Source organism: Homo sapiens, chromosome 7 (assembly GCF_000001405.40).
Source record: "Homo sapiens chromosome 7, GRCh38.p14 Primary Assembly".
Lineage (NCBI taxonomy): Eukaryota > Metazoa > Chordata > Mammalia > Primates > Hominidae > Homo > Homo sapiens.
Genome location: NC_000007.14, coordinates 152,640,578 through 152,665,016, shown reverse-complemented (window position 1 = coordinate 152,665,016; position 24,439 = coordinate 152,640,578). Strand labels below are relative to the sequence as shown.

At 42.7% G+C, this 24,439-nt stretch overlaps 1 protein-coding gene across 1 annotated transcript in view; it reads left to right on the top strand.

Annotated features, from left to right (window-relative positions):
• Positions 1 to 20,241, top strand: part of XRCC2 (X-ray repair cross complementing 2) — a 31,366-nt gene extending 11,125 nt beyond the window's left edge. The window contains exons 2-3 of the mRNA NM_005431.2: positions 4,235 to 4,316; positions 15,654 to 20,241. Of these exons, the coding sequence (NP_005422.1) occupies positions 4,235 to 4,316; positions 15,654 to 16,375 (804 nt within the window). The 3' untranslated portion in view covers positions 16,376 to 20,241. The remainder of the gene's footprint in view (positions 1 to 4,234; positions 4,317 to 15,653) is intronic.

Here is a 24,439-nt window from a genome sequence, read left to right as displayed (position 1 = left end):
AGTTCTGTGCATGCTCGTGTAGGGCAATTTTCCCGTACTGGTCTAGTGCTCCCAGAGAAAGGTCATATACTGGTCACACTCCACCATTTTGCTCCCTACTGCACATTCCTGGACATGTTTGCTCAATTCCTAGGATCTTATCAGGAAGTTGTTGCCCGTAAGCCCAAGATGTTTCCTGTTAGGAAATTTTCCCCTCCCTGGTGCCAGCTGCAACCAGTTATCATTCCTGAAGAGGCCACCTGGACATTCCTTGGGGCCTGTCTTGCCCCACTCACACCTGTCTGTCTACCTACTCTAATAGCGTGATGATGGAGGCCAGGAAATCCCAGACACACCATCTGCAAGCTGGAGAACCAGAAAGCCTGTGGTGTAATTCAGTCTGAGTCTGAAGGGCTGAGAGCCAGGAGAGCCCGTGGTGGAACTCCCAGTCCAGGGCTTTAAAGGCTCGAGAATGGTGTAGGGTTGGGGGACAGGCGGCACTGGGGTAAGTCCCAGAATCAGGGGCTCCAATATCTGAGGGCAGGAGAAGATGGGTGTCCCAGTTCAAGAAAAGAGGGATTGGAGGATGCCCGTCTGCATTAGTGAGGATGGATCCTTTTTAATCAGTCTACTGATGATGCTCGTGTCCTCCAGAAACACCCTCATGACACACCCAGAAATAATGCTTTACCAGCTATTTGGGCATCTCTTAACTTAATCTAGTTGACACATACAATTAACTATCACAGCCACCTTCAGGCTTAATAAGTCTCTAGAAGAACTCAGAACTCAGTGAAAGCTGTTATGCTCATGGTTATGGTTTGCAACAGCAAAAGGATATAGATTAAAATCAGCCAAGGGAAGAGACACAATAGGACAAAGTTCAGGAAGTTCCAAGTACAGAGCTTCCAGCTGTCCTCTTCCAGTGGAGTCATCAACAGTGCTAAATTCTCCCAGCAACAATGTGTGACAATAGAATATTGGCAAGCAGGGAATCTCAGCTAGACTCTGGTGTCCGAAGGTTTTATTGGGGCTCTGCCATGTGGACATAGTCAACCGCCTGCATAGCTGACCTTAGCTTCCAGCACTTCCAGGTTGGCCTAACACTGCATGACCCAAAGCCCCCACCATAAATCACATTGCTGTGTGGCTCAAAGTTCTCTTGTAAACAGAGACTATTTTTGGGGGGGGGGGGCAGGGGGACAGGGTCTTGCTCTGTGGCCCAGGCTGGAGTGCAGTGGCATAATCTTGACTCACTGCAGCCTCGACCTCCTGGACTCAAGCGATTCTTTTCTGTCAGCCTTCTGAGTAGCTGGGACTACAGGTGTATGCCACCATGCCCAGCCAATTTTTGTATTTTTTGTAGAGACAGGGTTTCGCCATGTTTCCCAGGCTGGTCTTAAACTCCCGGGCTCAAGCGAGCCTCCTGCCTTGTCCTCCCGAGGGACTAGGATTACAGGCGCGAGCCACTGTGCCCGGCCCAAAGACACTTTTATCAGGCAAGACATTCCAAGGGTTTAGAATTACCTCTCAGGAGCCAAGGACAAAAACCAGACCTCCCTTTGGGCAAGGTTAAATTATTCACTACACAGTATGTTTCTCATGTCATCACAAAGAATATTTTTTAAAGTGTACTCAAGGGTCATGATTTAGTAAAAGCAGTCTTTTTTTTTTTTTTTTTTTTTTTTTTTACTTCAAAGACATTCTTACGTAAAGCTGGTTTTGTTCTGCCTGAGTGCAGGTAGTGCTTGGCGATGTGTGCTAATACATTTCCACACCACTGCCTTGATTACGCTAGCTGTCAGCAGGTACCCACTATTGCTTTTAGGACCTTAGTATCAAACTAGGCAAATAACATCTTAATTTTTACTTTTTCTGTTTACGAAAATAGTTTTGGCCATGGGTATGCCCTCAGAACCTCTGCTCTAATTAAGCACCCTGTAACTTTACCTTGTATTATGACATAATCTCATCTAGAGGACTGAGACTGCACATTCTTTGAGGGTAGGTTGTCATCTTCATCTTTGTAGTCAACATTTTACCTAGCACAGTGCTTCATACGCAACAGAAATTCAACGAACGCCTGTTAAATTAATGCATAGAACTTTTTCATCACTTGAGGAAGTCTTTCCACAACTTGATTTGGTTTAAAAAAATGCAAATAAGGCCGGGCGCGGTGGCTCACGCCTGTAATCCCAGCACTTTGGGAGGCCGAGGCGGGCGGATCACGAGGTCAGGAGATCGAGACCATCCCGGCTAAAATGGTGAAACCCCGTCTCTACTAAAAATACAAAAAAATTAGCCGGGCGTAGTGGCGGGCGCCTGTAGTCCCAGCTACTTGGGAGGCTGAGGCAGGAGAATGGCGTGAACCCGGGAGGCGGAGCTTGCAGTGAGCCGAGATCCCGCCACTGCACTCCAGCCTGGGCGACAGAGCGAGACTCCGTCTCAAAAAAAAAAAAAAAAAAAAAAAAATGCAAATAAAAGGTGACTTTCTTCCCATTTGTGATAGATTTTTTTTTCTTTTGTCATATAGAAGGGTTGTCAAATCTGTGCTGATTCCCAAGAAACTTGAGAATCAGTTTTGTCTCCCTTGTGACAGTTAAATCCTTCACCGAGATTGCCCCCTGTGATCCTAATGACTTCCGTCATGGTGCAGACACTCCTCCTCCAGACTAGGGTGACAAACCCCAGCCCTCTCTCCACGTATGGTTTTAACTCTCCTCACATCTGTCCCCTAGTAACCACCAAGATGATCTGTTTGAAATGCAGATAGGCTGGGCGCGGTGGCTCACGCCTGTAATCCCAGCAGATTGGGAGGCCGATGGGAGCGGATCATTTGAGGTCAGGAGTTTGAAACCAGCCTGCCCCAACATGGTGAAACCTTGTCTCTACTAAAAATACAAAAATTAGCCGGGCGTGGTGGTGGGTGCCTGTAATCCCAGCTACTCAGGAGGCTGAGGCAGGAGAATCACTTGAGCCCAGAAGGCAGAGGTTACAGTGAGCAGAGATCGCACCACTGAACTCCAGCCTGGGCGACAGGGCAAGACTCCGCCTCAAAAAAGAAAAAGAAGTGGATAATATGCCAGGTACTCTTTTCACATATTTAATCCTCATCAGCCTTATGAGGGAGGGTGCTGTTTGTTATCCTCACTTGACAGATGAGAAGCCTAAGGACCTCAGTGACCTAGCAGGTCTGGCTCTGGGGTCCCAAATGTCTACTCTTAACTATGTTCTAAATACTTCTCAGTGCTTAGTGTCACACCTGTTGGCTGTTGTCTACAAGCCAAAGATAAGCTCCCAAACATGGCGTCTGAGCCCTTCCATGCTCTGACTTCTGCTCTCTTGTAGGGCTTCCCTGGGTCCTGCCTGTTTGGTGCTGTTACAGTATCTAGGAGTTCAAAGCTGCTCACAGTGTCCCTATGCACAATGCTATTTATAACCTCTGCACTGTGGCTGCTCCTGTTTCTGTTAGCAGGTCTACTAGGCCTGCCTGTGCCCCATTCACCTGGCAGTCTTACTTAGGAGAGAGCCCAGGTGGTGGCTCCTCAAGGAAGTTCTCCTCCACCTTTCTCCTTTGTCCCCTTCCCCAGTGAAATAAAGAGCTCACAATGAATGGGGCAGACAAATGAAGGCAGATAACTGTGTAACAAGTGTGGTAAGAATTAACTGTGTGAAAGTTAATTACAAGGAAGGTAAAAATTTTGCCATAGCAGTTTGTCTTATATCCTAAACTAGACTATCCATTCCTTTGAGGGTACAGACTCATTTTATACTGTCAGTATTTGGTAGATAAACAAAAAGTAAAATATCTGAAAAATAAGTAAACACAACATTTCTCCTAAACTATATTTCCTATTTCATATTTTCTTCCAAATCCACAAAATTATGAAAAAAATTTTTTTTGAGATAGGGCCTCACTCTGTCACCCAGGCTGCAACCTCTGCCTCTTTGACTCAAGTGATCTTCCCACCTCAGCCTCCTCAGTAGCTGGGATTACAGTGTGTGCCACCATGCCCAGATAATTTTTGTATTTTTTGTAGAGTCAGGTTTCACCATGTCGCCCAGGCTGGTCTGAAACTGGACTCAAGCGATCTGCCCACCTTGGCCTCCCAAAGTATTGGGATTACAGGTGTGAGCCACAGCACCCAGCCTAAAGTTATGAAATCTTACAGACTTTCGGAAAATGGTATAAATATAGATGTCTAGGATTTTATATTTTTAAATAATGAGTTTTCCTTCTCTCTTCTTTTATAAGCTCCTTGCCCGACTTGAAGGTAGAAGTTCCTTGAAAGAAATAGAACCAAATCTGTTTGCTGATGAAGATTCACCTGTGCATGGTAAAAAATACAACCTTTATATAAATAAATGCAAATCTTTATAAAAGGATTTTTCACATAAGCTCACATGTATACACATACTCCTCACAAGAGTTTATACAGGTTAAACTGTACAATTGGAAAATGAGACACAGGTTGTGACAGAAAGCTTTTAAGCTTTCCTCATCGGTGTCAGACAAGTTTGCTTCTCTGCAGTAAATCTTCAGAATATGCCTTGACCTCTGTCTTATTCTCAACACACAATATTTATGCAAGTCCTGTTATTATAGTTTATGTTGAAATTCCTTTTCTTTAGAAGCTTGCGGAGTTGTAGGGAAGTCCTTGGGTACCCACTTGTTAGTATTTCTACAACAGGGAAAACTTACTAAGGGCGTGCGCTTAGGTTGATTTTTTTTCTTTTAATGTGGCGGCTTCATAGAGATAAAATTCACCCACCGAAGTGTGCAGTTAAGTGATTTTTAGGTTATTACACAGTTGTGCAACCGTTACCACAGCTGACTTTAGAGCATTTTATCTCCCCGTAAAGAAGCTCATTTCTAGTAATCATCATCTCCCATGTTCCCCAGCTCTAGGCAACTACTAATCTACTTTCTAACTATGGATTTGCCTTTTCTGGACATTTCATATAATTGGAATCATGTAATATGTGATCTTCTGTGACTGGCCTCTTTTACTTTGAATAATTTGCACTGAATTGTATAATTCAGTGTCACCATTTCATAACACGTATCAGTAGTTCATTCTTTGTTAAATATTTCATTGCATGAGTGTACATGTTGCTTATCCATTTGTTAGCTGATGGACATTTGGGTTGTTTCCATTTGCTGGCTGTTGTGCATAATGCTGCTGTGGTTATCTGTGTACATGTTTTTCTGTGGATAGATGTCTTCAGTTCTATCGGATAATACCTAGGATAGGCATTGCTAGGTCATATGGCAATTCTACATTTAACCTTTTGAGAAACTGCCAGACTGTTTTCCAAAGGAGCTTCACATTTTACTTGCACCATCATTGCATTGCCAGCAATTCCCATATTCTGGGAATAATTGTTATTGTCTGTCTTTTTGATAATAGCCATCCTAGTCAGTATGAAGTGTTATCTCTTTGTGGTTTTTGATTTACATTGTCCTCACGGCCAATGATGTTGGGTATCTTTGCACAGGCTTATTGGCAAATTGTATATCTTTGAAGAAACGTCAGATCCTTTGCTCATTTAAAAAATCAGGTTATAGCCGAGCGCAGTGGCTCACACCTGTAATCCCAGCACTTTAGGAGTCTTAGGCAGGCAGATCACGAGGTCAGGAGTTTGAGACCAGCCTGGCCAATATGGTGAAACCCCCATCTCTACTAAAAATGAAGTATCCAACTGTTATTGTTGAATTGTCTGTTTCTCTCCTGAGTTTTATCATTTTTTGCTTTTGTATTTTGGGGCTTCATGTATTGTTAAGCACATATAACTTTTTATTTTGTCTTATTGCTGGCTGACCCATTTATCATTATAAAATGTTCTTCTTTGTCACCTCACATCCATTAGGAAGGCTACTATCAAAAAAAAAACAGGAAATAGCAAGTGTTAGCAAGGATGTGGAGAAATTGTAACCCTTTTGCACTGTTGGTAAGATTGTAAAATGGTGCGACCATTATGGAAAACAGTATGGAGGTTCCTCAAACAATTAAAAATAGAGCTACCATATGATCACATAATCTCACTTCTGGGTATTCATCCAAAAGAATTGAAAGTAGGATCTTGGAGAAATATTTGCACACTCTTGTTTATAGCAGCACTATTCACAATAGCTAAGAGGTAAAACCAACCTAAATGTCCATCAATGTGCTTATAATGAATCCCTGGGGGGAAAAGTATCCATCAATGGTTGAGTGGTGTATACAAAATGTGATATATACATGCAGTTGATATTATTCAGCCTTACAAAGGAAGAGAATTCTGTCACGTGCTACAACGTGGATGAACCTTGAGGACATTGGTAAATGAAATAGGCCAGACACAAAAAGACAAACTGCTTGATTCCACTTATATGCAGTTTCTAAGGTAGTTAAATTCACAGAAAAGAAAGTAAAATGGTAGTTACCAGGAGCTGGGGAGGCGGGGGAAGGGAGTCATTGTTTAATGGGTGCAAAATGGGAGTTTTGCAAGATGGAAAAGTTGTGGAGTTCTGCTTCATTGCTTTGCAGCAATGTCAATGTACTTCACACTGCTGAGCTGTACACTTAAAAATGGTTAAAGTAGGGACCAGGCACGGTGGCTCACACCTGTAATCCCAGCACTTTGGGAGGCCAAGGTAGGTGGATCACCTGAGGTCTGGAGTTGGAGACCAGCCTGGCCGACATGGTGAAACCCCGTCTCTACTAAAAATAGAAAAAATTAGCCAGGCGTGGTGGCAGGCGCCTGCAGTCCCAGCTACTCGGGAGGCTGAGGCAGGAGAATGGCATGAACCCGGGAGGGATTCAGTGAGCTTGCAGTGAGCCAAGATTGTGCCACTGCACTCCAGCCTGGGCGACAGAGTGAGACTCCGCCTCAAAAAAAAAAAAGAAAAAGAAAAAGAAAAATTACCCAGGTGTGATGGCTCATGCCTGTAATCCCAGCTACTTGAGAGGTCAAGACAGGAGAATCACTTGAACCTGGGAGGTGGAAGTTGCAATGAGCCGAGATTGCGCCACTTCACTCCAGCCTGGGTGACAGAGCAAGACTCCGTCTCAAAAAGAAAAAGAAAAAAAAAAACAAAGACAAAAAGTTTATGATTGCATTTTGCTGTCTGTTTTTTATATATGTCTTATGTCTTTTCTGTTTCTTTCTCCTTTACTGTTTTCTTTTGTGTTAAATATTTTCTAATGTACCATTTTAATTCCCTTGTCATTGTTTTCACTATATTTTTCTGAATTATTTTTCTAGTGATTGCCCTGGGATTACAAGTAAGATCATAATTTCTAACAGTCTAGTTGGATTAATACAAACTTAATTTCCATATTTTGTAAAAAGCTTTGTTTACTGTATAGGTATTCCCTACATCTTTATACATTGTATGGTCATCAGCACATTTAATATTATTACTGAATTAAAGTAATTAAAATGATCACTTAAGAATACTTTCTGGCCAGGTGCGGTGGCTCACACCTGTAATCCAGCACTTTGGGAGGCTGAGGTCTGTGGATCACCTGAGGTCAGAAGTTCAAGGCCAGCCTGGCCAACATGGTGAAACCTCATCTCTACAAAAATTAGCTGGGCATGATGGCGGGTGCCTGTAATCCCAGCTACTCGGGGGGCTGAGACAGGAGAATTGCTTGGACCTGGGAGGCAGAGGTTGCAGTGAGCCGAGATTGCACCACTGCACTCCAGCCTGGGCAACAGAGCAAGACTGTCGCAAAAACAACTTCCTTCTTAAATCAGATAGATGAAAAAACAGTTACAAATACAAAAACACGTTTATACTATCTTTTTTTTTTTTTTAGATGGAGTCTCACTCTGTCGCCCAGGATGGAGTGAAGTGGTGTGATCTCGGCTCACTGCAACCTCCTCCTCCTGGGTTCAAGTGATTCTCCTGCCTCAGCCTCCCCAGTACCTGGGACTACAGGTGTGTGCTACCACACCTGGCTAATTTTTTGTTTTTAGTAGAGACGGGGTTTCACCACGTTGGCCAGGCTGCTCTTGAACTCCTGACCTCAGGTGATTCGCCCACCTTGGCCTCCCAAAGTGTTGGGATTACAGAGGTGAGCCACCATACCTGGCCTGTACTGTCTTTTATATTTGCCTAGATAGTTACATTTCCCTGTGCTCTTTATTTTCTCATTTGGATTTCAGGAACTGTGTCCTTTCATTCAGCCTGCAGGACTCCCTTTAGTATTTTTTGTACAGCAGATTTGCTAACCAAAATTCTCCATAATAAAACACAAATTTTGATCAAATATGTAAGACAAAAAACAGAATGGTCTTTGTACTCTCTCTGTAAGGAAGGATATTATTAAGGTGAGCCTTATGAAACTGACAATATGTTAAAATGGGTTTGTGGAACAACTTCTACATTAGAATATTATATTATAGAAACGTTGAAAAACACCATCATGTTCAGTAACTAACAAAAAAGTTTACTGAAAACTACTGAAGATCCTATAGCTGTAAAACTAGTTAGATGAGTATTCCATTGGAACAATAGCAGATAGAAGACTGGGATTATAAAGATTATTTATCAACAATAGAAGTTTATCAGAGCTTGTTACAGAAAAGCTTAAGTTGAAGTAGTAAGATTTAGGGGTTATAGAGTCTCAATGCCATTGTAAACTTTTTTTTTGAGATAGAGTCTTGCTCTGTCTCATCTGTATTTTTAGTAGAGATGGGGTTTCACCATATTGGCCAGGCTGGTCTCGAACACCCAACCTCAGGGAATCCACCCACCTTGGCCTCCCAAAATGCTGGGATTACAGGTGTGAGCCACTGCACCCATCCGAACATTTTTTAAAATTTATTTTAATTTAATTTTAAATTCTAGGATACATGTGTAGAACGTGAAGGTTTGTTATATAGATAAACGCGTGCCATGGTGGTTGGCTGCGCCTATCAACCCATCACCTAGGTTACTTGTCCTGGCTATTTGTCCTGACGCGCTCCCTCCCCTCATGCCTTCAGCAGGCCCCGGTGTCTGTTGTTCCCCTCCCTGTGTCCATGTGTTCTCATCCAAACATTTATTTTTATTTTTGTTTTGTTTTGTTTTGACACAGAGTCTCACTCTGTCACCCAGGCTGGAGTGCAGCTCGATCTCGGCTCACTGCAACCTCAGCCTCCCAAATAGCTGGAATTACAGGCAGATGCTACCATGCCCAGCAAATTTTTTGTATTTTTAGTAGAGACAGGGTTCCAACATGTTGGCCAGGCTGGTCTTGAACTCCTGACCTCAAGTGATCCACCTGTGTCAGCCTCCCAAAGTGCTGAGATTACAGGCATGAGCCATTGTGCCCAGTGCCAAACTTTTCTTTTTGAGACAGGGTCTCACTCTTGTTGCCCAGGCTGGAGTGCAGTGGCGCCGTGACGGCTCGCTGCAGCCTCGACCAACCCCCGGGCTCAGGTGATCCTCGCACCTCTGCCTCCTGAATAGCTGGGACCACAGATGTGTGCCACCACACCAGACTAATTTTTGTGTATTTTGTAGAGATGGAGTTTTGCCATGTTGCCCAGGATGGTCTTGAACTCCTGGGCTCAAGCCATCTGCCCACCTCAGCCTCCCAAAGTGCTGGGATTATGGGCGTGAACCACCACGCCCAACCTGTAAACATATTTTTAATGCTTTTTTGGATAGGAGTTATTCAGTACCATGTACCAATTCATTACTTCTTTACTTCTATAATGATTATAATCTGCAAATTCAACATATTTGTTATATAATTGGTAGGCTGGTACCAAGATGATAGCTTTTTTGGCTTTTCCTTTCTTTTCCTTATTTTGAAGGATCTTTAGATTCAGAACTCTTTCTGACAATCTGTTACCCAAACTCCTTACAGCGTTCTATTTGTAAGAGGAACTGTCAAGGCCAAATCATCCAGATTTTCTGATTTAGTTTAATATCTTCAAGTGCCAAACCTTAGGGATTTTTTTACTGCGAGTTGTCACGTTCCATAATTTGGCTGGACAAGGATGCTGTAGCAGCCACAGAAACATATGAGACGGTGACTTCAAGTACATTGAAAAGGATGATGTCCCTTCTGTAGGACATAATATTTGATTACAGGTTTTGATCTTGAGGATCAAACAGTAAATGTTTATAAAATCAGTAAAACTGATTTCAGTTCATCATTAAACATATTTGTGAGGAATTTAGTTCAAGGACCTTAATGATAATTCATGTGTCTCTTGCAAGTTTGCAGTGTCTTCCCGGTTGTTATAAAAGCCTTTTTTATACCTGCTTTGCTATTAATGTGTAAAAGAAAAAGAGTATCTCTTAGGCAGGGATTTAACCTTCAACTTCTTTGCCTCAGTTTCACTCGTCGGGAATCCACTCTGTCCTTGCTGTTACTCTAGAAGCAGTGAATGCCTAGGCTAGTGCCGTTGTCTCCTGTCTTCTGAGTATCTCAGTTTTAAAAGTTTGGTTCACAAAATGAGATGTTAAATGTGCTTTTGCGGACTACACAATTAATGCTCCAAGGTCACTATTTTGGACAAACTCAGTGATCTTTTCCCTGCTGTTTTTCATTGTCATGACTTTTCTGCTATATTTATTATTTAGTAGTTTCATTTTCTTGAAACATTCTCTTTTGCCCTGTAATGTTTTTCTTCCTGGTTTTCCTATTAAATTTCTGTTTTAGCTGTCTTCTAATGCGTCTTCTAACTGTGGATATATCTCAAAAATTTAGTTTTGGCCTTAATTTTAGGTCCATAATACCCACCCATCAAAGAGATTTTTGTTTTTTCTCTATTATTTCTGTGTGGATTACTCCCAGTCTGCTATAACCAGCCCCTTATTACCTACCATCTTGAATCTTTTTTTTTTTTTTTTTTTGAGATGGAGTTTCACTCCTGTTGCCCAGGCTGAAGTGCAATGGCGCAATCTGGGCTCACTGCAACCCTCTGCCTCCCAGGTTCAAGCAGTTCTCCTGCCTCAGCCTCCCAAGTAGCTGGGATTACAGGCACGTGCCACCATGCCCAGCTAATTTTTATATTTTTAGTAGAAGCAGGGTTTCTTCATGTTGGCCAGGCTGGTCTTGAACTCCTGACCTCAGGTGATCCACCTGCCTCAGCCTCCCAAAGTACTGGGATTACAGGCGTGAGCCACCGCGCCCGGCTTACCATCTTGAATCTTAAATTTTAGTGGCTGTAGGACATTTTCATTTTGTGACACCTAGAGATAACATTTTAAAAAACCCATACCATTTTGAAAGCTAAATTTTTGCTGGAATACTCAATGTGAATTATGTGAACTAAAAATTTCTACTTTGGGTTGGGTGTGGTGGTGCATGCCTATAAGTCTAGCACTTTGGGAGGCTGAGGTAGGTGGATCACTTGAACCCAGGGGTTTGAGACCACCCTGGGCAACTCAGCAAGACTCCATCTCTACAAAAAAAATACAAAAATTACCCAGGTGTGGTGGCACACACCTGTGGTCCCAGCTACTCAGGAGGCGGAGGTGGGAGGATGGCTTGAGCCTGGGAGGCGGAGGTTGCAGTGAGCTGAGGTCACGCCACTACACTCTTGCCTGGGCGACAGAATGAGACCCTGTCTCAAAAAAAGTCTACTTTATGTCTGTATTTGATTTGTGCAGGTACTTCCAAGCCTATCTTTGAGAACTTTTAAGTCACCACATTAGGTTTACCTGCTGTATTAGTCCATTTTTACGCTGCTGATAAAGACATACCCAAGACTGGGCAATTTACAAAAGAAAGAGGTTTAATTGGACTTACAGTTCCATGTGGCTGGGGAAGCCTCACAATCATTGCAGAAGGCAAGGAGGAACAAGTCCCATCCTACGTGGATGGCAGCAAGCAAAGAGAGCTTGTACAGGAAAATTCTCCCTTATAATAAGCATCAGATCCCATGAGACTTACTCACTATCACGAGAACAGCACAGGAAAGACCCGCCCCCATGATTCAATTACCCCCACTGGGTCCCTCCCACAATACGTGGGATTTCAAATGAGATTTGGGTGGGGACACAGCCTAACCATATCACCTGCAGAACTGAGGCCCTCACCACGCTAAGTGTGAGCACCCTGTGGTCTCTGGGCAGCAGGCTCCACACCTGGCAGTTTGCTCCTCTTGCTTTGCCTCCTATGTTGGTCCCTGTGTCAACCCTGGTCTAGGACTTTCTTACCTGCTGAACTCTGCCACCAAAGCCACACACTCCACCTGTCATTCCCTACCAGACCCGCTTCCATTTAAAATGCCAGTTTCACAATTGGCTTTTAGGCCCTTAACCCTCACAAACCAAGACTTATATTTTTATTCTTTAGATGTCTCTCAAGAGGATCTTGAGAAGAAGGTAACTGATGAAGCACATTCAGAAGATCCTGGGTTTTGTGCTGGGGACAGAATACTCAAGTCCCAACCTTAGAGAAGCTAGCAGGAAATGTAATCAAGTAAATAGTGATTATATAGTGTGATCTGTGTGATGATGGGAGATGATAGAGTTTGCTTTCCCTACCTCAGTGTTATTAGGAGCAAACAGGATATGTCTGAAGCAGCCTCTTTAAGGCATGCAGTACTCTAGAAAGGTGAGTAGCTGTGGGTCGGCCTCTCTGGCTGCCTCTATGGGAGCAGGAGAGGGAGGATTTGCTGTGGTCTGCTTCTTGGTTTCCCCGTCTGCGCTTCTGCATGGTCCCTTGTTCTCTATCACATAGGGCAGTAAAAGATGCTTGGCAGGAGTGGCGGGTTCAGCATAGCTCCTCAGTAACATAGTAAGAGAGGGCACACTGAACATCTGGGTGGAATACAGGTTTAGTTGCTATGTTAACTTTTAATTAGATGGACAATTGTTAATATGAAAATAGTTTTACTCCTTGAGCCTAGAATCTTTTTTTTTTTCTTTTCTTTTCTTTTTAGAGACAGGGTCTCCCTCTGTTGTCTGGGCTAGAGTGCAGTGGCATGATCATGGCTCACCGTAGCCTCAACCTCACAGGCTCCCACTTCACCCTGAGTAGCTGAGACTGGGACTGTAGGCACATGCTACCACGCCCGGCTATTTCTTTTTTTTAATTTTTTGTAAAGGCAGGGTCTCCCTATGTTGCCCAGGCTCGTCATGAACTCCTGGGCTCAAGTGATCCTCCCACTTCAGCTTCCAAAGTGCTGGATTACAGATGTGAGCCACTATGCCCAGCCATGTGTAGAATTCTTAAATACAAAAGAGAAGTCTATGAGAACTGATAACATACTATGCTATAAGAAAGCTGAAGCCAGGCATGGTGGCTCATGCCTGTAATCCCAGCACTTTGGGAGGCTGAGGCAGGCAGACCACTTGAGCCCAGGAGTTCAAGACCAGCCTGGGCAACATGGTGGAACCCAGTCTTTACAAGAAATACAAAAATTAGCCAGGCATGATGACACATGCCTGTAGTCCCAACTACTTGAGAGGCTGAGGTGGAATCATTTTTTAAATTTCTTCTTAAGGTAAATTTAGAATTGCAAGTTGTATGTAAGATTATGGTGGAAATTTGGTGCAGTCTTGGCTCACTGCAGCCTCTACCTCCTGGGTTCAACTGATTCTCCAACCTCAGCTTCCCAATTAGCTGGGACTACTGATGCACACCACCATGGGTGGCTTTTTTTTTTTTTTTTTAATTGTAGAGTTGGGGTCTCACTATATTGACCAGGCTGATATTGAACTCTTGGGCTCAAGTGATCCTCCTGCCTTGACCTCCCAAAGTGCTGGGAGTTACAGGCATGAGCTACTGTACCCAGCCTAGATTTCTTATACATTATTTGTGAATACTCCAATATACAACGGTTTGTTGATAATAATAAGAAAGGCCAGGTGCGGTGGTTCACACCTGTAATCCCAGCACTTTGGGAGGCCGAGGTGGGTAGATCACCTGAGGTCAGGAGTTCGAGACCAGCCTGGCCAACATGGCAAAACCCCATCTCTACCAAAAATACAAAAATTAGCTGGGCGCGGTAGCGCACGCCTGTAATCCCAGCTACTCGGGAGGCTGAGGCAGGAGAATTGCTTGAACCCAGGAGGCGAAAGTTGCAGTAAGCCAAGATTGAACCACTGCACTCCAGCCTAGGCAACAGAACAAGACTCCATCTCAAAAAAAAATTAAAATTAAATAATAAGAAATAAAGTAATTGCATTTTTTTGTGTTTTTGTTTTTGTTTTTTGAGACGGAGTTTCGCTCTTGTCGCCCAGGCTGGAGTCCAATGGCGTGATCTCAGCTCACTGCAACCTCTGTCTCCCAGGTTCAAGTGATTCTCCTGCCTCAGCCTCTCAAGTAGCTGGGATTACAGGTGCCCACCACCATGCCCAGCTAATTTTTTGTATTTTTAGTAGGGTTTCAGTATGTTGGCCAGGCTGGTCTTGAATTCCTGACCTCAGGTGATCCTCCCGCCTCTGCCTCCCAAAGTGCTGGGATTACAGGCGTGAGCCACTGCGCCCAGCCCTTGAATCCGTATTTAGACCATCATTTGGTTGGGGCTAATAATTGGCATTTTAACATAGTGTTTCCAATCAGGTAGTTCAGCCGTAAATTAATAATGACAAGCAAGAGTTGAATGCCACTGTGAGTGCATTTTGAAAAGCTCTGGAAGCAAGGCAACTTCCCCAGTGTTGTTTGATTTAACTTGTGCTGTCCTTAGTTATTCGAGCCTAGATAGAAGGAGAGTTGGAGTCTTTAACGTTCAGAGTAGTTGACTTTGATTTTTAATGCTAGGAAAATAATTTCTAATGCAGCTGGACATGGTTTCCAGAGATAATTCAAATAGCAAAGAATAACTGAAGGCAGTTTGGGAACGTGTAAGGTTGTTTTCAGTTGAAGGATGCTGTTGGCATTTAGGGTCTGAGAGCCATGGGCTCTTGCCTCAATAATGTGTGAAACCACAAAATCCAGAATTGTTCCCCCCATAACATCAATAACACTGAGAAACCTAATTAGGGAGTGCCTTCACCTGCGTGTCATAGAAGTCCAACTTAGTGGCTTGCCCAGGTGGAGGCTTGTTTTCCTCACATCCTGAGTGGCACAGAGGCAGGCTGTGCGTGGCTGGTGGGGGCTCCGTGTGCCCAGAGTCCTGGGTACCTTCTGTCTTCCACGCCACCATCCTAAGGGTGGGTTTCATCCTCACTGCTTCCAGATGGCTGCTCCACCCCCACAGGAGGGTGCGGCAGGGCAGAAGGGGTCCCTGGATAGGAAAGAATCATCAACAGAGAGCAGCCTGCATCTCACTGGCGACAGCTGTGTTACCTGGTAACCTTGCTTTTCAAAGGAGACTATGAAAAATAGTTTTAAAGTGGACACATTTCCCTCCCCATCAAATTGGGTTTTATACTTTAGGAAGAAGGGAAGAATGGATATAGTGTAATCAACTACCAGAAAGGGTGTGTACTGTAGTCATCAGATTTTGGAAAGGCCCTAGATCTGTGGCTCTTTATTTTTGAATCTTACAAATTGAAGTGGGAGTGCATGTGAGCCTGGCCGGAGGAGAGTCCCCTAGCCTCTTCCAACCTTCCCACCAGGCTCTAATTTCCTTATTTATTGTATTTGCTTGTACAGCTCCATTTTGGCAAAAGTGAATTTAGATTTTCTTTCACATTCCAGTAAGTGTCTTTTTAAACTTTTTTGCAGACTTTGCATTTTGTAACCTACCCTTGAGCTACTGCATTTTGACTGAGATTTTTAAATTTTACACAGGTGATATTCTTGAATTTCATGGCCCAGAAGGAACAGGAAAAACAGAAATGCTTTATCACCTAACAGCACGATGTATACTTCCCAAATCAGAAGGTGGCCTGGAAGTAGAAGTCTTATTTATTGATACAGATTACCACTTTGATATGCTCCGGCTAGTTACAATTCTTGAGCACAGACTATCCCAAAGCTCTGAAGAAATAATCAAATACTGCCTGGGAAGATTTTTTTTGGTGTACTGCAGTAGTAGCACCCACTTACTTCTTACACTTTACTCACTAGAAAGTATGTTTTGTAGTCACCCATCTCTCTGCCTTTTGATTTTGGATAGCCTGTCAGCTTTTTACTGGATAGACCGCGTCAATGGAGGAGAAAGTGTGAACTTACAGGAGTCTACTCTGAGGAAATGTTCTCAGTGCTTAGAGAAGCTTGTAAATGACTATCGCCTGGTTCTTTTTGCAACGACACAAACTATAATGCAGAAAGCCTCGAGCTCATCAGAAGAACCTTCTCATGCCTCTCGACGACTGTGTGATGTGGACATAGACTACAGACCTTATCTCTGTAAGGCATGGCAGCAACTGGTGAAGCACAGGATGTTTTTCTCCAAACAAGATGATTCTCAAAGCAGCAACCAATTTTCATTAGTTTCACGTTGTTTAAAAAGTAACAGTTTAAAAAAACATTTTTTTATTATTGGAGAAAGTGGGGTTGAATTTTGTTGATATACATCATAAAATAGTCTTTTGCAGGGTACTACGCAAGCCTTAAAATTTTTCTTAAGACAGAGTCTTGCTCTGTCTCCCAGGCTGGAGTGCAGTGGCACAATCATGGCTCACTGCAGCCTTGAACTCCTGGCCTCAAGGGATCCTCCTATGTGTGCCTCCTAGAGTGCAGGGATTACAGGCGTGAGCCACTGCTCGTGGCCAAAAGTTTTCTTTTTTTTTTTTTTTCTTTTTGAAACAGTCTTACTCTGTCTCCCAGGCTGCTGGAGTGCAGTGGCACAATCTCGGCCCGCTGCAGCCTCTGCCTCTTGGGTTCAAGTGATTCTTCCACCTCAGCCTCCCAGGTAGCTGGGATTACAGGCACCCACCACCACGCCTGGCTAATTTTTGTATTTTTAATAGAGACGGGGTTTCACCATGTTGGCCAGGCTGGTCTCGAACTCCTGACCTCAAGTGATCCACCCACCTCGGCCTCCCAAAGTGCTAGGATTACAGGCCCGTGCCCAGCCCTAAAGTTTTAAACTCTAGGGGAATTAACAGTATTTCTTTACAGAATGGATTTGTTAAACTAGCACAGTAAAAGTAAAGACTATTCTGTTTCTAGGCTGTTGAATCAAAGTGATTTTAGCAATTAAACTTTGTATTAATTTACCACCAATATTTCTTCACAAAGGAACTTTTAAAAGATTATCTCAGAAAGTAAATCTGAGAGGTAAGAAGTAATAATGAGTAAATGGTAAGTACTTGAGTAAATCTAAAGAAATATTGATAGTAAGGCAATCCTAAGCAAAAAGAACAAAGCTGGAGGCATCACGCTACCCAGCTTCAAACTATACTACAAGGCTACAGTAACCAAAACAGCATAGTACTGGCACAAAAACACACGTAGACTGATGGAACAGAATAGAGAATTTAGAAATGAGACCACACACCTATAATTTTTTTGATCTTCGATGAACCTGACAAAAACAAGCAATGGGCAATGGATTCTCTATTCAATAAATCGTGCTGGGATAACTGGCCAGCCATATGGAAAAGATTGAAAATGGACGCCTTCCTTATGCCATATACAAAAATTAACTCAAGATGGATTAAAGACTTAATGTAAAACCCAAAACAGTAAAAATCCTGGAAGACAACCCAGGCAGTACCATTCAGGACATAGGCACAGGCAAAGATTTCATGACGAAGACGCCAAAAACAATTGCAACAGAAGCAAAAATTCACAAATGGGATCTAATTAAACTAAAGAGCTGCACAGCAAAAGAAACTATCAAGAGAGTAAACAGACAGCTTACAGAATGGGAGAAAATTGTTGCAAACTATGCATCTGAGAAAGGTCTGAAATCCAGCATCTATACGTAATTTAAACAAATTTAGAAGAAAAAACCACCCCATTAAAAAGTGGGCAAAGGACATGAACAGACACTTTTCAAAAGAAGACATCTGTGGCCAACAATCCTATGGAAAAAAGCCCAGCATCACTGATCATTAGAGAAATGCAAATCGAAACAACAACGAGATACCATCTCACACCAGTCCAAATGGCTATTATAAAAATGTCAGAAAATAACAGATGCTGGTGAGGTTGTGGAGAAAAAGATATGCTTATACACTGTTGGTGGAAATGTAAATTAAATTAGTTCAGCCATTGTGGAAGACAGTGTGGGGATAAAGACAGAGATACCATTCAACCCAGCAATCTCATTACTGGGTATATACCCAAAGGAATAGAAATCATTGTTATAAAGACACATGCACGCGTATGTTCGTTGCAGCACTGCCCATCAGTGACAGACTGGATTAAAAAAATGTGGTACATACACACCAGGGAATACTATACAGCCATAAAAAGGAACAAGACTGACTGGGCGTGGTGGCTCATGCCTGTGATCCTAGCACTTTGCGAGGCCGAGGTGGGTGGATTGCCCGCGCTCAGGAGGTCAAGACCAGCCTGGGCAACACGGTGAAACCCCATCTCTATTAAAATACAAAAAATTAGCTGGGCATGGTGGTGCGTGCCTGTAGTGCCAGCTACTCAGGAGGCCGAGGCAGGAGAATTGCTGGAACCCAGGAGGTGGAGGTTGCAGTGAGCTGAGATCGCGCCATTGCACTCCCGCCTGGGCGACTCCATCTCTAAAAAATAAAAAATAAAATATAAGGAACAAGATCATACCTTTGCCAGGGACATGGATGGAGCTGGACGCTATTATCCTTAGCAAACTAACATAGGAACAGAAAACCAGATACTGCATGTTTTCACTTATAAGTGGGAGCTAAATGATGAGAACTCCTGGATACAAAGAAGGGAACAACACACACACACACACACACACACACCCTCTCACAGACTTAGAATACGTGGCAAGAAAAGCATATAATTTGACATTAGGAGCAGAAGAATTAGTGTGCTAAGGTCCTTGCATTGTCCGGGAGAAGGGGAAAAGTATCAACATTAGACATTGATAAAGGGTCTGCACCTTTTGATTTCTTAACCACTCAAGGATAGAAAAGGGGCATAACTTTAAAATGAAACAGGAAAATGGTGGGCTGATTTTTAAATTTAAAAGAACCGAATACAGCAGGACAGATCCAAAGCACAGAGGAGATGGTGTATTTAACTCCATCCACACCAATCATTACATTACATGCAAAGGGACTGAGGACTCCAGTTAAAATGACAGTTTTAGGCTGGTTTTTAAAATACATATTTGCTGTTTTATTTTTAGAGACAAGGTCTCGCTCCGTTGCCCAGGCTGGAGTGCAGTGGCATCATAACTCACTGCAGCCTCGAACTCCTGGGTTCCAGTGAGCCTCCACCTCAGCCTCCAAAGTAGCTGTGATTACAGGTGTGTGCCACCTTGCCTAGCTGAGTCCCTTGAATTGATAAAAGGTATATACAAAAATCCCTCAGTAAACATTAGTTAATAGTGAAATATTAGAAGTGTCTCTTTTAAAATCAAGAACAAGAGTGCCTGCTATTACTACTTGTATTCAACATTGTACTGAAAGTGTCAACACAGTAAAGCAAGGAAAATGAAAAAGCATGAAAAAAAGGCATATGGAAGAAACAAAACTGTCATTCTTTAAAGGTTAGATGATTGTATGTATGGAAATCCAATATCATCTATAAGCAGATTATTAGAATTAAGAGTTTAGCAAATTTGCGAGCTAAAACATCAACATTTAAGTTTTTCTAAGTACCAGCAACAGAATTAAAAAATAGAATTTTAGGCTGAGTGCAGTGGCTCACAACTGTAATCCCAGCACTTTGGGAGGCCAAGGAGGGAGGATTGCTTGAGTCCTAGGAGTTCAAGACCAGCCTGGGCAACATAGTGTAAGACCCTGTCTCTATAAAAATAAATTTTAAAAAAGAAAATGGAATTTTAAATATATATAATATTTAATCATAACTAAAAATATAAAGTTTCTAGAAATAAATCTAATAAAAATATGCAAGACCTTTTTGGAGAAAATTACAAAGCTTTATTGTAAGAAGCAGAGTTTAACCCTTTTCCCATTTAGAAAAAAAAAGTGCAGCTCACTGCCAGCGCTCATTTAATTTTACGTAAACACACTCTTGGAGGCTGAAGCAAATCTTACTGATTTTCAATGTGAAAATAAAATATAAAAACTATTCTTGGAGTTATTTCTAAACAGAACTAACATCAGAATCATCTGAATCATCAGAATCATCTCTTTCAGAAAAATCGGACTCATCGAATGAATCTTCGGCTAACTGTTGAGAACGATGTTAACATCACGTGTAGGAATACTACATTTTCCAGGATTTGACATTTTCAGCGATCAAGAATTACTATGTTTTGTAAATGGAAATACCACTACTAAAGACAGAATGCTATAAATAGAATGATGTCTTTTGTTTCTAAAGTCGATATACTAGAGCGATGTGAAAATAATCATAAAAGCGAGATATTTCGTGGCAAAGTTATCTCGGGGTAAACGCTGCAGCTGTAAGCACTGCCGGTGAGTATTCTCAGGACAAATGGGAAAAAGGGTTAAAGAACCCCTAAATAAATGGAGAGAAGTAGCATGTTTGTGATTGAGAGACTCAGTGTCATTAATATAAAGATGTCAGTTTTGCGACTGAGCAATTGATCCAATGCAATTACTGTCAAAATCCCAACAAAACTATTTTTGTTTTGCTTCATTTTGGAACTGATTCTTAAATTTAGTACAGCGAGGAGCCAGGAATCCTGGAGCCCCTTGTATCCGCTCAGGTCCGCCAGGAGGCAGCTGCAAAAATGATGTCAGGAGCATAAGAGGTGAAAGACAAGAGGGGGCAGAATGAGGCAGGGAAAACCTTAGGGCCTGACACCGGTGGAAGGAAGGAGGCAGGAAGAATTGGGAGGAAGAACTTCAGACTGACAGCACAGCTCAAAGAAAGTCTTGGCCTGTCCACCAGGGAACTCCTATGCAAAGATTGTCTGGAGGACACCCTCACTGGGCAGAAGTATTCATGAGGAGCACATGACCTCAGCTCATATACTGTGGCAGAGCAAAAGGCACTTTAGCTGGACGCTGTCAGATAACTCACTTTCAAAGGGAGATCCGAGCTAAGTGTTCTTTCTTCTCTCTCTCTCTCTCTCTTTCTTTCTTCCAGAGGCTTGCTTCTTCGCCCAGGCTGGAGTGCAATGGCACGATCTCAGCTCACTGCAACCTCTGCCTCCTGGGTTCAAGCAATTCTCCTGCCTCAGCCTCCCGAGTAGCTGCGATTACAGACGCATGCCAGCACGCCCGGCTAATTTTTGTATTTTTACTAGAGACGGGGTTTCACCATGTTAGCCAGGATGGTCTTGAACTCCTGACCACAAGTGATCTGCCTGCCTCGGCCTCCCAAAGTGCTGGGATTACAGGTGTGAGCCATTGCACCCAGCCTGGCTGCTAAGTGTTCTTAAAGGAGGCTGATGTAGGGGAACTTACCCTATTCGATGTAAGGATATGTAGTTAAGGCCAGGCATGGTGGCTCAGGCCTGTAATCCCAGCACTTTGGGATGCCAAGGTGGGCGGATCACGAGGTCAAGAGATCAAGACCATTCTGGCCAACATAGTGAAACCCCCGTCTCTACTAAAAATACAAAAATTAGCTGGGCATGGTGGCGCACGCCTGTAGTCCCAGCTACTACGGAGGCTGAGGCAGGAGAATTGCTTGAACCCGGGAGGCGGAAGTTGCACTAAGCCGAGATCACACCACTGCACTCCAGCCTGGGCGACAGAGCAAGACTCCGTCTCAAAAAAAAAAAAAAATTGTCGCTAAAGTGAGAGTATGCTATTGGTAAAAGGATACACAAGTAGAACAGAATATAGAGCTTCAGAACAAACCCACACGTATGGACTTTAGCATATTTCAGAAGCAGCAAATCATTGTGGAAAGGATGGACTATTCAAATCCTTGTAACAAGGATGGATGATACATGATGGAAAAAGATGCAACTGAAAACTGTATTACATCAGTACTTATAATTTTTACTCATCAAAGATTCCATCAACAAAGCAAAAAGAGAAGCTACAAACAGAGTATATTTGCAACCCATGCGAACAACACGTTTAATATTAAAACCAAAATGTAGTGTGTATACTCATAAGTGTGTATATATGTGCACACAAATATGTACGTATACATAAATCAAGACAAAATAAGTAGAAAAATGGGCAAAGGATATTCAGGGGCATTTCACAGAAAAGAAACAGGACTGGTCAAAAAACATGAAATGATGTTCAATCTCATTGGTAATTGCAAATACAAATTAAGAGTTCAGTAAGGTGTCATTTCACGCACACTTGGATGACAGAAATTTAAAGGCTGACATTACCGAGTCGCGAAGAAGATGTGCAACAAATAATGCCAACTCTGTGCTGCTGGCAAAGTCAAACCAAAGAAGTGCAAGCACCTGGAAAACGAACTTGGCATTATTTTTCTTTCTTTTTTTTTTTCTTTTGAGACAGAGTCTCGCTCTGACGCCAGGCTGGAGTGCAGTGGCGTGATCTCGGCTCACCGCAACCTCCGCCTCCCGGGTTCAAGCGATTTTCCTGCCTCAGCCTCCTGAGTAACTGGGATTACAGGCACCTGCCACCACACCCAGCAAATTTTTGTATTTTTAGTAGAGATGGGGTTTCACCATGTTGGCCAGGATGGTCTCGATCTCTTGACCTTGTAATCCGCCTGCCTCGACCTCCCAAAGTGCTGGGATTACAGGCATGAGCCACCACGCCTGGTTTGGCATTATTTTTCAAAGTTAAATACACATAATACCCTTCAACGTGGCATATATCCTTGAGAGATTCTTGCTCATGTGTGTCAGGAAAGATGTATAAATATATTTATATTAGCATTATTCATAACAACAAAAGCCAGAATCAACTCAAACATCCATTCACAACAGAATGGATAAACAAATGGTGGCATATTCATACAAGGAAGCACCCGACAGCATTAAAAATGAATGCACTACTGTCGGATGCATAAACAGGAAATAAATCATACAAACGTAATCCCGAATTTTCTCTTTTTTTTTTTTTTTTTTTTACTTTTTCTTTTTTTTCAGAGGCTAAGGAAGGGGTGGGGTTGGGCAGGGAGAGGAAGGGACTGAGGGTGGAGTCTGCTTTTTCTTAAAGAACATTACAAAGGAATACCTTCAATATAATACCTTTTAAAATAATACCTTCGGCCAGGCACCGTGGCTCATGCCTGTAATCCCAGCACTTTGGGAGGCCAAGGTGGGTGGATTGCCTGAGGTCACGAGTTTGAGACCAGCCTGACCAATATGGTGAAACTCCATCTCTAGTAAAAATACAAAATTAGGTGGGCATGGTGGTGCATACCTGTAATCCCAGCTACTCGGGAGGCTGAGGCAGGAGAATAACTTGAACCTGGAAGGCAGAGGTTGCAGTGAGCTGAGATCGCGCCACCACACTCCAGCCTTGGGGACAAGAGCAAGACTTCATCTCAAAAAAAAAAAAAAAAAAAGACATAACTCACATACTATACGATTTGCTCTATTAAAGTATACTATTTGGTGGTTTTAGTCAACTCCAAGTTCTGCGACCATTTAATTTTAGAACATTGTCATCACCCCAGAAAGAAAAGAAACCCCATACCACTTAGTAGTCATTCCTCATGCCCTTCTCTTCCCCAGCTCCTGGTAATATCCTAAACTGTTTTCTGTCTGCATTTGCCTGCTATGGACATTTCAAATACATACAATCATATACTCTGTGGTCCGAGTCTTCTTTCACTTAGTATGTTTTCAAGATTCATCCATGTCATAATATATGTCAATAGTTTATTCCTTTTTTTTTTTTTTTTTTTTTTTTTTGAGACAGGGTCTCACTCTGTCACCCAGGCTGAAGTGCAATGGTGCTATCTCAGCTCACCACAACCTCCGCCTCCTGGGCTTAAGCAATTCTCCTGCCTCTCGGCCTCCTGAGTAGCTGGAAATTACAGGCATGTGCCTCCACACCTAGCTAATTTTTGTATTTTTTGCAGAGATGGGGTTTTGCCACGTTACGGAGGCTGGTCTTGAACTCCTGGGCTCAAGTGATCCACACACCTCAGCCTTCCAAAGTGCTGGGATTACAGGAGTGAGTCACCGCACCCAGCCAGTTTAGTCCTTATAGCTGTATAATATTCCATTGCACAAATATGACACTTTTTAAAAATCCAACGTCAATGGATGGATATTTGGATTGTCTCCAATTTGGGGCTATTTTGATTAATGCTGCAATGAATATCAATTTACAAGTCTTCGTGTGGAGATGCCTTTTAAAATAAGGTTCAAAAACAAAACTAAACAATATATGCTAAAATTAGAAGAAAAGCAGGGGACCAGCAGCGTGCTATTTGGGAATGTTCCAGTCAGTTCATCGAGTTCTTTTTTTAATATTCCTCATAACTCATCACATATTACAATAATCATAACATACACACACATACAAATAGGGTGTTCTGGCCTCCACATTTTGTAAAAAGCTTCATGGTTGGATGTGGGAGGGAAAGTAGACTTTGGTTTCTTAGACGCGTCCACCTTCTCCCTTTCGGTCCCA